Below are 14,740 nucleotides of genomic sequence, written 5' to 3' on the forward strand. Positions count from 1 at the left end.
GAAGGGATCCAGTTTCAGCTTTCTACATATGGCTAGCCAGTTTTCCCAGCACCATTTATTAAATAGGGAATCCTTTCCCCATTTCTTGTTTTTGTCAGGTTTGTCAAAGATCAGATGGTTGTAGATATGCAGCGTTATTTCTGAGGGCTCTGTTCTGTTCCATTGGTCTATATCTCTGTTTTGGTACCAGTACCATGCTGTTTTGGTTACTGTAGCCTTATAGTATGGTTTGAAGTCAGGTAGCGTGATGCCTCCAGCTTTGTTCTTTTGGCTTAGGATTGACTTGGCAATGTGGGCTCTTTTTGGTTCCATATGAACTTTAAAGTAGTTTTTTCCAATTCTGTGAAGAAAGTCATTGGTAGCTGTGAAGAATGCCATTGGGGATGGCATTGAATCTATAAATTACCTTGGGCAGTATGGCCATTTTCACGATATTGATTCTTCCTACCCATGAGCATGGAATATTCTTCCATTTGTTTGTATCCTCTTTGATTTCGTTAAGCAGTGGTTTGTAGTTCTCCTTGAAGAGGCCCTTCACGTCCCTTGTAAGTTGGATTCCTAGGTATTTTATTCTCTTTGAAGCAATTGTGAATAGGAGTTTGCTCATGATTTGGCTCTCTGTTTGTCTGTTATTGGTGTATAAGAATGCTTGTGATTTTTGCACATTGATTTTGTATCCTGAGACTTTGCTGAAGTTGCCTATCAGCTTAAGGAGATTTTGGGCTAAGACGATGGGGTTTTCTAGATATACAATCATGTCATCTGCAAACAGGTGACATTTGATTTCCTCTTTTCCTAGTTGAATACCCTTTATTTCCTTCTCCTGCCTGATTGCCCTGGCCAGAACTTCCAACACTATGTTGAATAGGAGTGGTGAGAGAGGGCATCCCTGTCTTGTGCCAGTTTTCAAAGGAAATGCTTCCAGTTTTTGCCCATTCAGTAGGATATTGGCTGTGGTTTGTCATAGATAGCTCTTATTATTTTGAGATACGTCCCATCAATACCTAATTTATTGAGAGTTTTTAGCATGAAGGGTTGTTGAATTTTGTCAAAGGCCTTTTCTGCATCTATTGAGATAATCATATGGTTTTTGTCATTGGTTCTGTTTATATGCTGGATTATGTTTATTGATTTGCATATGTTGAACCAGCCTTGCATCCCAGGGATGAAGCCCACTTGATCGTGGTGGATAAGCTTTTCGATGTGCTGCTGTATTTGGTTTGCCAGTATTTTATTGAGGATTTTTGCATCGATGTTCATCAGGGATATTGGTCTAAAATTCTCTTTTGGTTGTGTCTCTGCCAGGCTTTGGTATCGGATGATGCTGGCCTCATAAAATGAGTTAGGGAGGATTCCCACTTTTTCTATTGATTGGAATAGTTTCAGAAGGAATGGTACCAGCTCCTCCTTGTACCTCTGGTAGAATTCGGCTGTGAATCCATCTGGTCCTGGACTTTTTTTGGTTGGTAAGCTATTAATTATTGCTTCAATTTCAGAGCCTGTTATTGGTCTATTCAGAGATTCAACTTCTTCCTGGTTTAGTCTTGGGAGAGTGTATGTGTCAAGGAATTTATCCATTTCTTCTAGATTTTCTACTTTATTTGCGTAGAGGTGTTTATAGTATTCTCTGATGGTAGTTTGTATTTCTGTGGAATCGGTGGTGATATCCCCTTTATCATTTTTTATTGTGTCTATTTGATTCTTCTCTCTTTTCTTATTAGTCTTGCTAGTGGTCTATCAATTTTGTTGATCTTTTCAAAAAACCAGCTCCTGGATTCATTGATTTTTTTTTTTTTTTTGAAGGGTTTTTTGTGTCTCTATTTCCTTCAGTTCTTCTCTGATCTTAGTTATTTCTTGCCTTCTGCTAGCTTTTGAATGTGTTTGCTCTTGCTTCTCTAGTTCTTTTAATTGTGATGTTAGGGTGTCCATTTTAGATCTTTCCTGCTTTCTCTTGTGGACATTTAGTGCTATAAATTTCCCTCTACACACTGCTTTGAATGTGTCTCATAGATTCTGGTATGTTGTATCTTTGTTCTTGTTGGTTTCAAAGAACATCTTTATTTCTGCCTTCATTTCTTTATGTACCCAGTGGTCATTCAGGAGCAGGTTGTTCAGTTTCCATGTAGTTGAGCGGTTTTGAGTGAGTTTTAAAATCCAACGTGATCAGCCAATAAGCTAGGGGCTTCATCATATCAGCTGTGAATAATAACAGTTGTATATCTTTTCCATTTCTTTCTTTTCTTCCTCTTTCTGGCTTGCTGAAGTGGCTGGAACCTCCTCAGTGAGCATAGCATGTCTCTATTCCGCTTGGCATCAGACGAGGCAGCTTGAAGGCTGGAGACTGGAATCATGTTAAGAGCCTTGTGGTTGGTACCTGGAAGACTTAAATAGATGGGGGTTGGCACAGCTGGGAATCCTTGGGTATCTTTCTCTTCACCATGGTGGCTTTAGGGCTCCAAAAGCACATGTCCCAAGGGAGAAGGAGACACAAGCAAAAGTTATGGTGTCACCGTCTATGACTTGGCTTTGTGAGTCACACAGTATTTTTCCTGTCACCTTCTATTTGTCAGAAGTGAGTAAACTAGGGCTGCCCCATATTCAAGGAGGGGACAATTAGACTCCACCTTTTCGTGGGAGGAGTATCACAGAATTTGTGGATGTATTTTAAAAGCAGCACAATTGATGTTCTAGCCCAAATTATTTACATGTTTCCTTCATGCAAAATACACTTGCTTCATCCCAGGACTTGCAAAGTTGTATCTATTAAGAGATCAGGTTTAGGTTTGAGGCCCAGGGTCTTGTCATCTAAATCATGTTCCCACATGGGTGAGGCTCCTTGCGGGTAGTTCCTCGAGTGTAGATCATGGAAGATCATTTTCTTGATCTGAAGATCTATGTACTAAGGAGACAAGTCTTCTGTCCTGCTGATGCCACATGCAGTGGTGGGTCTGGCATAAGATAACTGCTATAGACACTCTAACTCACACAGTGGGGAGAAAGAAGCACACAGAACTCCTTGGTCCATGGCACTTCTGAAATCCAGCTGGACACACATGGCTAGTGCCTTGATGAAGGCTCAGTTCCAGCAGCTGGGAAACTGGGAATCATCCTCCATGGTTTCTTGGATATATCCTCTGAGTCAACTTTTCTTTTTCTATAAAATGTAGCCATGTTTGCAGCAGATTAGATTTTTCAGTCTGTGTCCTGCCTGTCAAAATTTTGTTCCATATAATCCTCTTACAACATTTTGGGTTTACTATGTAACCTACTGGAATTCACTCCATTAAACAAAAGCCTCATCTATGTATCTCAAGATAAGTCTTTCTACACTGGGATCCCTGAAAGGTGACTCTGGAATAATTCATTTAAGATTCTTGGCCAGGCATGGTGGCTCATGCCTGTAATCCCAGCACTTTGGGAGACTGAGGCAGGTGGATCACCTGAGGTCAGGAGTTCAAGACCAGCCTGGCCAACATAGTGAAACCCCGTCTCTACTAAAAATAAAAAAATTAGCCAGTCATGGTGGCATGCATCTGTGGTCCCAACTACTCAGGAGGCTGAGGTGGGAGAATCGCTTGAACCTGGGAGGCGGAGGTTGTGGGGAGCCCAGATTGTGCCACTACACTCCAGCCTGGGCAACACAGCAAGACTCTGCCTTAAAAAAAAAAAAAAGATTCTTAGAAGCCCAAGTTGTGTGGTGGAAAGGATCTACCCTGATGATCTCTAGAGAACTTTGATTTTAATTCTAAGAACGTCACATAGAGTTTTACAATTGCACCTTTGGGTTCATCTTTAGACTATGTTGTCCTGACAGTGCCCTGAATTTGATATCTTCCAGAAACCATTTCTTAATTTTAGCAATCACTATGTCAATTGGAGAAACTAAGAATGAAAATCAGTTTTATTTTCAACTCAGAAAGTCCTGGCTCCTTTATATTTAACAGTTCTTTCTTTAGCTTGCTTTAGCTTGTCTATTTTTTTATAGCAAAAAGAAACTGGGTGGTACTTTCAACACACTCTCTGGAAATCTCCTTAGCTGGAACATTTAGCTCATTAGGTGCTTTTTCTATTTCCCACATTGCCACAGGCAACGGTGTTACTAAACTTCCTGCTGTTGCATCACGAAGGTTTTCTTTTTCCAGCTTCCAATAATATTTTCCTCACTTTCCTGTAAGTCCTCACCAGCAATCCTCCAGAGGGTCATCAAGCCTCTGCTAATGATTTCTTTGAAGTCCTTGATGCTTCACTAACATGTTTCTTAAGTCCAGCTTCTTCCCACTGCTCAGTCCCAAAGCCACATGCTTTAGGTTTGGTTATGGCAGCACCTCATGTTTAGAGTGCCAAAATATGTCCAGTTCTCTACAGTTGTGAAACTAACCACCACTGAACTTAGTGATCATTTTAAACAAGTTATTTTGCTCATGAAACTGCAATTTGGACAGATCTTAGCAGGGAGAACTTAGCTCTGCTCCCCTCAGCTTGAGCTGGGGTAATTCAAAGCTAAGGGCTGGAATAATCTAGAGACTCACTGACTTATCTTATGGCTGAGGTTGGGAAGACAAACAGCTGAGGTATGGTACCTCTGGGGTGTGTCAAGCTTTCCTCTCTGTGTGGCCTCCTTAACATAGTCTATTTGGCATGGCATCTTTTGGCTAGGGAGACTTCTTACATGTCAGAGAAACAGTAAGTAAAGATGTACCACTTTTTATGACCTAGGCTTGTAAGTCATGCAGTATCATTTCTTCCACATTCTCCTCATTAGAAGTGAATCACTATGGCTGACCCATATTCATAAGAATTAGACTTCACCTTTTTATGGGAGAGGTAACAAGAAGTTGCAGTATGTTTTAAAATGGCCACACACACTAAGCTGCACATGAGGCTGGGAAATGTATTCTGTGGCTAAGCATGCATTGCAAGCCAAAACGTAGGGGAATTCTGTTACTAAAAGGTAAAAGGAGAGAAAGGCCAGATTACTGGGTGTTAGTTAGCAGTCTCTGTCACAGGCAGCTTTGTATAGAAATTAAAACCTGAACCAAGTTATCATGGATGAAGAGAATGTGAATAGGGAGAAAGGTCATTTCAAGCAAGAGAAGAATATGAGCAGAAACTTGGAGAAGGTAATAAGATTGTGGGCATGTGTGTGTTTATGCTGAAAGTACATGTCTAATTAAAGGGAGCTGGTGATCAGATGGTAAATTATGCCACATAGAATGGGTGTGGTCCTATCAGGAGGCCAGTGAAAAATAGAGAAACTGCTTGGATTTGGCATAGTTTTGTGATGAAACGGCAATGTGTTAGGCCATTTTTCCATTGCCAAATAAATACCTGAGACTGGGTAATTTATAGAGAAAGAAGTTTACTTGGCTCATGGTTCTGCATGCTCTTCAAGCCTGGCACCAGCATCTGCTTGGCTTCTGGAGGGCTCAAGGAGCTTTTACTCACGGTGGAAGGTGGCATGGGAGCAGGCACAGTACATGGCAGAGTGGGAGCAAGGGCAGTCGGGAGGTGCCACACTTTTAGAAACAATCAGATCTCATGAGAACAAACTTGCTATCGTGGCACCAAGCCATGAGGGATCCTCCCCCAGGATCCAAATACCTCTCACCAGGCCCTACCTCCAACCCTGGGGATTACATTTCAACATGGGGGATTTGGAAAGGGACAGATAACCAAAGTATATCAAGTGAGATTTGGAGACGGATGACCCTGGACCTGAATTCCCTGTCCATAATAGTCTTGTGATTTTCAGCAAGTGCTATAGATTACAAAAGTGGCCACAATTCTCCAACTTTTTGTTGAATGACTTTACAGCAACTTCCATAAAGTTATGGAGTCTATTTCCCTGCCTCCTGACAATGCTCTGGCATTATGTCTTGCTTTGACCAGTAGAATGTGGTGGAACGAACAATGTGCCAGTTTTGAATTTTAATCTCAAGAGGACTTGCCTGTTCCCATTCATTTTCTTGGGACCTTGCAAAATGCCCCATAAACTGGCCAAGGCTAGGTAACTGGAGGATGAGCGAACATGTGGAGTGGAGCTCAACTCTCTCATCCAAGGTCCCCAAAATGAGAAAGTTGGACAAGGTTAACTTTGTTCACCTCGCTATAGTTGAACTGAAGAGCCATGAGCGGGCCCAGCAGGGAGAGGCTGCCCAGGTGAGCCAGCTCAAACTGACAACACCTTGAATCATGAGCTAAAGAAGTGGATGTTGGGCTGGGTACGGTGGCTCACGCCTGTAATCCTAGCACTTTGGGAGGCCAAGGCGGGAGGATCACCTGAGGTCAGGAGTGCAGCCTGGCCAATGTGGTGAAACCCCATCTCTACTAAAAATACAAAGAATTAGCTGGGCATGGTGGCACATGCCTGTAATCCCAGCTACTTGGGAGGCTGAGGCAGGAGAATCACTTGAACCTGGGAGGTGAAGGCTGCAGTGAGTCGAGATGTCCCATTGCACTCCAGCCTAGGTGACAAGAGCAAAACTCTGTCTCCAAAAAAAAAAAAAAAAAAAGAAGTGGATGTTATTTTAGCTACTGAAATTGGGGTGATTTGTTACACAGCAAAGCTAACTGTTACAGCAAGTTAAATAAACTCTTTTCTAAATCTCAGTAGCTTCACTAAAATAGATATTAAAATAGATCATAAATAGTGCCTATCTCATGGCAAGGACAAAACCAGACACTTGGTGCCAAGCCTGAAACGTGTGCTGAGCAAATGTTAACTAATGCCATTGATTACATCAAAGAGAGATTATTAACAGAGTAACACAAAGGAAAGAGTGTAAGAAAGAATTACTTTAGAAATCCCCATTCTGCTCATTTTTGCCTCATGACTTTTCGCCATTCTTTGGTTCCACTGCCCTGGCATGTGCTCACTCTGCATACCACAAATCTGCATCTGGGGGCTAAATGTTCTCCCTTCAAAACTTATCTCTTTGAACACTTTCTTTCTGGACCCCTTCAACACAAACCCAGATGGTCCACATACTCTGTTAATTGTCTTATTGCCTTATATATTTATATATTTTACTAACAGCCTCTAAGCAACTTAATAAAGATGGTTGGTGTTGGTCTTTGGGGTTATCTTATCTCCAGTTAAGAGGCCTGTTAAATTTCCTGAATGCCAAGTCATTCAGTGAACTCACAGACAACTATTCCCCCAATAGATGGGATTTGTAGGAATCACTGGGTATTTTCCCCAGCATATCATGAGGGAATGATGAGAACTTGAATGTAACAACTGGTTCCCACCAAGCAAATGTCTGAATACTTTAGAGTCCGTAAATCCTGTTTATGTCTCAAACTGCTTATCAACTGTAACCCAGTTATTACTTGAAAGTAAAAATAGAAGTCCTTGGGAAAACTAAAGATGGAAACAGATGCTATACTACATTTTTAATTTTCCCACCTTAATTACACCCCCTACCAAAACAGGCTGGAGTGCTTAAGGCTTTGTAAGTTTCTTCTTTCTACTTCATTCAGAGGTTGTCTTCTGAACCAGCAAATATCATTTTTAAATTTAAACAAAAGACATCTCTTCTCCATTGTGTTTTGTCGGTGGTGTGCAGGACCTCTGGCTCCTACCGGCTTGCCAGAGGTGACTGTGAGCTGTGTGCATCTCATTCCAACTCCACTTCCAGTGGTGATACCCTGGAGCCTGAAATTGGCCATGGTAGGGTTATTTATTTACACCAGAAAAATCAGCAAATTCTGTGAAGCAGGGTTTTTGTTTTTGTTGTTTTTTTCCCCCAGAGAGCCAGTTGGTAAGCATTTACCAACATATGATGGCCAGATCGCCATGGGCTTAGAAAGTACAGCTTCTGTCACCAGGAAACATTCATCACCTTCGTCATTGCAGAATGCTCTAAGTTGTGAGACTGGTAAAATGGGAACTCAATGAAAGCATGACCAAGACAAATGCTGCTAAGCCACAGCCAGTCCGGCTGGAATATGAGTGAGGTAGAGAGAGGCTTGAGACAAGGCTGGAGGGGCACGCAGAGGCAGAAAACACAGGGCTCGGCCGGGTGCAGTGGCTCACGCCTGTAATCCCAACACTTTGGGAGGCCGAAGCGGGCAGATCACAAGGTCAGTTCGAGACTAGCCTGGCCAACATGGTGAAAACTCATCCCTACTAAAAATACAAAAATGAGCCAGGCATGGTGATGGGCGCCTGTAATCCAGCTACTCGGGAGGCTGAGGTAGGAGAATCACTTGAACCTGGGAGGCAGAGGTTGCAGTGAGCTGAGATTGCTGCACTCCTGAGCGACAGAATTGGACTCTGTCTGGCGGGGCGGGGAGTGGGGGGCGGGGGAAGAAAAACACAGGGCTGTAAAGGAATAAACATTTACGTTTCAGTGGTATAGAAAGTTATGGTTTCACATAGGAAATAAATATATTTGGGTTTATGTTTTCTAAAGATCTCTCTAGGTATCTGGTCTGTGGAGAATAGGATAGACACATGGTGGGAGGGCAAGGGTGGAAGACTAATGAGGACACTATTTTGGATCGGGACAAGGGAGCCACAGCATGGCTTCTGACCCCTGCCTTGCACCTGCCCCATGCCCATCTCCACACCCCACCTGCGCTTGTGCTCCCAGCGCTCTCCACCAGGAATCCCTTCCTCTCCCATCCCAAGTCCTGCCATATTGCAAGGCCAGCTCAAGGTCCACACCCCTCCACCTTGCATCCTCCCCCCCGACCCCCGTCATCCCAGTCACATCAGTCTACCTGCCTTGGCACCTGGAATACTACTTCCTGATTATCACAAGACTTGCTGTGCTACCTTTTGTGGTCATTTCACATTTTATGTGCATTTGTCTGATCTCCATAAGTTGCTTAAAGTTTATTATGGAGATCAGTGGTATGATCTATGGCTAAATTGAGCGCCCAGAACATTCCAAGCAGGCACGATGCTAGATATCTTGGGGCACATAGAGGGAAGATAGAATCTGGTCCCACAGAAGCTTTCATTCATCTGTGGATTTATCAAATACAAAGATAGGTGATGCTAAGCCACTTTGCACTGATAAGGAAATGCAGGGAGGGAGGAGATTCATGCAAAACAGTGGGTAAGAAACACTTAAAGCAACAATCTTAAAACTGGGGACTGTATTCCTTGCATCACACATGGAATCAAAATTCTAACTGTAGCTTTGCTTCTAAAGGAAACATACTTCCATAATTACCTGCAACAGAAGTCAGCACATTCTTTCTATGAAGAACCAGAGAGTAAATATTGTCAGCTTTGTAGGGGGCCTCTGTTGCAACTACTCATCTCTGCTGTTGTGGTACAAATGCATACATAGACAAACCATCCACAAATACACAGAGATCTGTTTCAATAAAACTTTATTCACAAAAACAGGTGGCAGGGTAGATTTGGTCTCTGTACTGTAGTTCACTGACCCCTGATCTAAAAGATTACATACTTTGAAAACAGCAATGCCAAACCTTGAATCCAGGTCCGATATTTTCCAGCAATCGTGATGCTTCTCTGATCAACTGAATGAAACAGTTATAAATGTACTGGCTAAATTTAGCTTTATGCACTTGTTTTGTCCCCTATTACAGTATAAACTTTTGGTGAATAGGGATTTTCAAATTAATTAAAGCGCTTATTTTTATACCCAATACACACAAATACAGAACTTTACTATAGCAGATTTTTGACCCCAATTTAGTGTGCTATCTGAATAAAAGGCTTAGTAACTAAAAAAAGTGCTGTCTTAGATTTCTGAACTATTTTTTTTTTTTTTTTTTTTTTTTGGAGACAGAGTCTTGCTCTGTCACCCACACCAGAATGCAGTGGCACCATCATGGCTCCCTGCAGCTTTGACCTCCTGGGTTCAAACGATTTTCTCATCTCAGCCTCCCCAGTAGCTGGGACTACAGATGCGCACCACCACACCTGGCTAATGTTAATTTTCTGTGGAGACAGGGTCTTGTCATGTTGCCCAGACTGGTCTTGAACTCCGGAGCTCAAGCGATCCTCTTGCCTCGGCCTTCCAACATGCTGGGATTACAGGCGTGAGCCAGCATGCCTGGCTGAAACTATTTTTACAGAGAACTTAGGTGGTGATATGGTTTGGCTCTGTCCCCACCCAAATCTCATCTTGAATTATAGCTCCCATAATCCCCACCTGTCACGGGAGGGACCTGATGGGAGGTAATTGAATCATGGGGGTGGGTTTTCCCATGCTGTTCTTGTCCATAGTGAGTATGTCTCGGAAGAGCTAATGGTTTTATAAAAGGGAGTTCCCCTGTGCAAGCTCTCTTGCCTGCTGCCATATAAGATGTGCCTTTTCTCCTCCTTTGCTGTCCACCATGATTGTGAGGCCTCCCCAGGCATGTGAGACTGAGTCCATTCAACTTCTTTTTCTTTATAAATTACCCAGTCTCAGGCATGTCCTTCTAGCAGTGTGAGAATGGACTAATACAGATGGCCTTATCCTGTTTTTCCACAGAGCTATCTGAGGTACTATATAATCATCAAAAAGAATAAGGCAATTCTATAGGTATTAATGTAGGATTAGAGCTAAAATACTATGCTGAGAAAAAAGTAAGCTACAACAGTTTGTTTCCATCTATTAAAAATGAGGATGGGGATATATATGTATGTATGAGTAAATGATTGGACAGCTTAAATTATTTTTGAGAGAATATTCAATAAAACAGTAAAAATAGCTGTTTCTGGGAAAGGAAAATGGGTAATTAGGGCTACAGCTGGAAAAAAGTAACATTTTACTTCTAGTTGTTTTTTTTTTTTTTTTTTTTTTTTTTTTTTTTTTTTTTTACAAATCACCTATATGTATTAGCTTTCAAAAGATTTAAAAATTAAAAATACTAGATTGTCAGCGTCTGAAGTGATAAAATACTTTATGCTGGTGCCTCCTCAGTAACAGACATTCAAAACTACAGTCAGCCCTCAGTGTTCATGTGGTCTGAATCCAACCACAGATAGAAAATATTTGAAAAAACTTTTTTTGGTGGGGCACAGTGGCTCACACCTGTCATCCTAGCACTTTGGGAGGCTGAGGTGGAGGACTGCTTGAGCCCAGGAGGTTGAGGCTGCAATGAGCTGTGACTGTGCCTCTGCACTGTAGCCTGGTGACAGAGTGAGACCCTGTCTCAAATAAACAATGTTTAAAACACAGACACACACGGTATAACAGCTATTTATGCAGCATTTATGTTGTGCTAGGTATCTGTAACCTGGAGATGATTTAAAGGGTAAGGAAAGATGTGTGCAGGTTCTATGCAAATATTATACCACTGTATAGCAGGGACTTGAGCATCTGTGAATTTTGTATCCTCAGGGGTGGGGGGAGGGGGTCCTGGAACCAATCTCCCTTGGATACCAAGGGACGACTGCACTTCACTGACCTTGTTGAAAGCAACTGACATCACACACACCAATGAGTGCATGTAAAAGCAGTAAAATTGGAATAGGTTCTGTGGCTAGGGGAAGCTCAACGGTACTTTGTCAGCTGTGATGCTGCTCTACAGTGATGGGGGATGCTACCACTGGGGAAACTGAAGGGCACGCAGGCCTCCCTGTACGTTCTGTTGCAACTTTCTCTGAGTCTGTAATTATTTCTAAATAAAAGGCTAAAACAAAACCACAACTATGCCATGTAAAGGCTCACATGTAAATCTATGTTCTAACTATGGTGCTGCTCTAACCCCCCCAATCTGAGTCATGCCTTTCCTTGCCTATTTCCCCATCTATAATTGAGGGCGGGCGACAGCCTTCCAGAGTAAATTAAGTCACAGAGGGAATCCTGAGAGGTGAGCAGTAGAAAGAAGACTTCTGTCAAATTCTTTCTGAGCCTAAAATAAAAACAAAGACAACACACATCCAAGTCTTTGCCGGCTTTCCTTGGGTGCCTGGCGGGGCCACAGGCTTCAGGCAGCACCTGGCTTCAGGTTCCATCCCAATCCCTGCAGAATGGGAAGAAGCCATCCGTGAGCATGAGCAGAGGGTGGGAGTCAGTGGTCTGCAAGAGAAGTGGCGCTTGCTCATGCTAGACGCCTGGCCTGGTGGTTTGGGTACATTGGCAACCAAACTGCCTACCTGTGTGTTCTGGTCCACAGGGAGGTGCAGGCAGGTTCTAGGATCCAGGGTTGCAAGATCAGGCACACTTTGGGGCTGACATAGGGGACTGTCTGACATAAACACATTTCAAGTCCTCAGCTGTGTGTGACTTCATTTACCAGTCCCTTCTTTTGCTTTCTTGAAGTCACACTCAGTGTCTACAAGAGCAGTGGAGACAGCTGCAGATCTGTGTTTAGACCTGATGAGCAAGTCCATGAAACAAACACAAAGCCCAGACACTGAAACCATAGCATTAACACCAAAAAGCCGGCCGGGTGCGGTAGCTCACACCTGTAATCCCAGCACTTTGGGAGGCTGAGGCAGGTGGATCGAGACCAGCCTGGCCAACATGGTGAAACCCCATCTCTACTAAAAATACAAAACCTAGCCAGGCGTGGTGATGCATGCCTGTACTCCCAACTCCTTGGGAGGCTGAGGCAGGAGAATCGCTAGAACCCAGGAGGCAGAGGCTGCAGTGAGCCGAGATCACGCCACTGTACTCCAGCCTGGGTAACAGAGTGAGACTCTGTCTCTAAAGAAAAAAAAAAAAAACCACCAAAAAGCCAAAACAAAAATAAGCCTCCCCTCCATGGTTTTTAGAGCCTCCTCTGATAAAGGAAACACACAGCGTGTTAGCTAGTATCTTTTATTGTCAGAACTTCTGTGAGCCAACAAACAGTTTTGCATGGTTGTACACAAAGGGACAAGGCAAATTTCTTTTTTCGTGTGGGTAGACTTAGTTGGCCCAAGTCCTTAAAACTTTTCCATATAAAAATAAAAAGTCCAAGACCAGATTATTTTTCTTCTGGTCATAAATGCTGATTTATTTACAGGTGCCTTGTTCAGACCACCATTATAAACTTGGGATAAAATATGTGTGTATTAAAGCCTCAGCATTTAATGTCAGGGTCCTTTGAAGATTCACTCAAGTGTTAAGACGTTTCTGGAATGCAGCGTCTCTCCCCCATAGTCAACATGGTTATTATATCTGTAATCTATCCAGAATGATAGAAGCTAACCTTCCAAGTAACACTTTGTTTTTAACTTAAATCTTTTAGACATGAAAGACTCCAAAATGACTTCATTCTTGTTCTAAAACCAGCACTGGAGCCAGCTGTTGAAGAGTGGTTTATAAATACAGTTATCTTGTAGGCTGCTTATCTGTTTATAATACAGCAGACACAGATGGCAGACTTTGCTACATGTAAAACAATGGAGTCAACACGTGTTTTTCAAAATACAGCAAAGACAGGAAAATCCAGGATTTGGGTTTGTTAATAAAACCACCTTATAAAGTAACAATTGAGACTATAGCTCTGCATTATTAAAATATACAGACTGTGTACACCATTACACATCCTTTTTCCCTTTGCTTTTTAATGCTCATGAAACCATGATTAAAGTGTTGAGTTTATGAACACATGCACGAACAGGCAAGCACGTACACTTAAAAGATGAAACAAAGAAAAAAGTTGATTCATGTCATTCCATGAGAAAGGCTGCCCGCAGCACTCCAGCTCAAACACACTGTCCCCTCGAGCTCTCCATCCCCCTTCCCACTCCCTCACCTTCCCTCAGATTCGGGGAAATCAGGTTGGGAGGTTAGTGCATCATTGACAGAGAATGCCCCCCTTCCACGCTCTGTTAAGTCTCCCCCAGAAGGGGGAAAGGCAGTTCCCTTCAGTAGCACAGTTACGGTCGATTAGTGTTGGTTCCACAAGTTAAGGCACTTCCGGCTGCTTTGGTGGCAGCGTGGTTCCTCCCCTCCTTTTTTAAGGCATGTGTCCTCTAAGAGTAGTAAAGCTTTGGAAACTGTGCAGACTGTTAAAGTTGACAGCTTAATACAGGATCAATGAAGGCGGCAGGCAAAAGGATCCTCGGAGACACCTCCCTCAGACCAGAAGCTTCCAGAAAGCCTGGGCAGCTCTGTGTTTGTTTTGGCTGGGCATGGCACACTGGAGCCAGCCTAGGCCAGAGGGTGGTGCGTTCAGGTAGCAAAGACAGGTGGGCTCTGTCCCGCCTTCACCTGGAGCTGCCCTGGCTGCTGGCGGAGCGTGTCGTGCTGTAGCGCTTCTTCACGATCATGCTGATGTAGGCTTTCATGAGCTTGGCCACATCCACCACCTGCCCAGGGGGAAGCAGAACCGACACAGCGTCACAAGTCTCCCCCAGGCAAAGGGCCCTGCCTAATAATCCAGACATTCCCTGGGCACCCTCCCGTAGCCTTCCATGCTAATCGACGGATCCCATTTTGCAGGAAGCCAGAAGTTTAACCACTTTCACCTTCCTCATCAGGGAAAGGTGGAATCTCAGCTTTTCCAAATACAATGTGCACCACCTGGTGGCACAAACGTGCCAACTTGGCTTGATGGAAACTGTCAGACTTTGCACATTAAAATCCAGAACTAACCGAGGACGCTGAAGTTACTCGGTGTCAACAGTGCTGGGATTACTATCCCCGCTTAAAATAAATGTGAAATGACAGAGTCCACAATTACAGCCTTTAAAGACTGGATCATCTAATTCTAGTCAACTCCTTAGGAAGCAGCTGAAGAAACAAGATAACTGAGGCCCCAGGGGCTGGGAGAGCGGCCAGCTCCCCAGACGCCAGGCCAGCTTCTGCTCCACACCAGCCACCTCCTCCAG

The 14,740-nt window shown here is 43.3% G+C and overlaps 1 protein-coding gene across 5 annotated transcripts in view, besides 1 other annotated feature; it reads right to left on the reverse strand.

Annotated features, from left to right (window-relative positions):
• Window positions 3,985–4,279: a silencer, noted in NCBI's record as "tiled region #7757; HepG2 Repressive non-DNase unmatched - State 24:Quies". NCBI's record gives its function as "represses a minimal TATA promoter and a strong SV40 promoter by Sharpr-MPRA in HepG2 cells {active_cell/tissue: HepG2}" and the evidence as "EXISTENCE:reporter gene assay evidence [ECO:0000049][PMID:27701403]".
• Window positions 9,332–14,740, reverse strand: part of MYO10 (myosin X) — a 274,382-nt gene continuing 268,973 nt past the window's right edge. For all 5 annotated transcript variants that reach the window (XM_006714475.4, NM_012334.3, XM_005248307.3 and 2 more), the window contains one exon: window positions 9,332–14,218. In XM_006714475.4, coding sequence (XP_006714538.1) covers window positions 14,117–14,218 — 102 coding nt within the window. In that variant the 3' untranslated portion in view covers window positions 9,332–14,116. The remainder of the gene's footprint in view (window positions 14,219–14,740) is intronic.

Source organism: Homo sapiens, chromosome 5, assembly GCF_000001405.40.
Source record: "Homo sapiens chromosome 5, GRCh38.p14 Primary Assembly".
Lineage (NCBI taxonomy): Eukaryota > Metazoa > Chordata > Mammalia > Primates > Hominidae > Homo > Homo sapiens.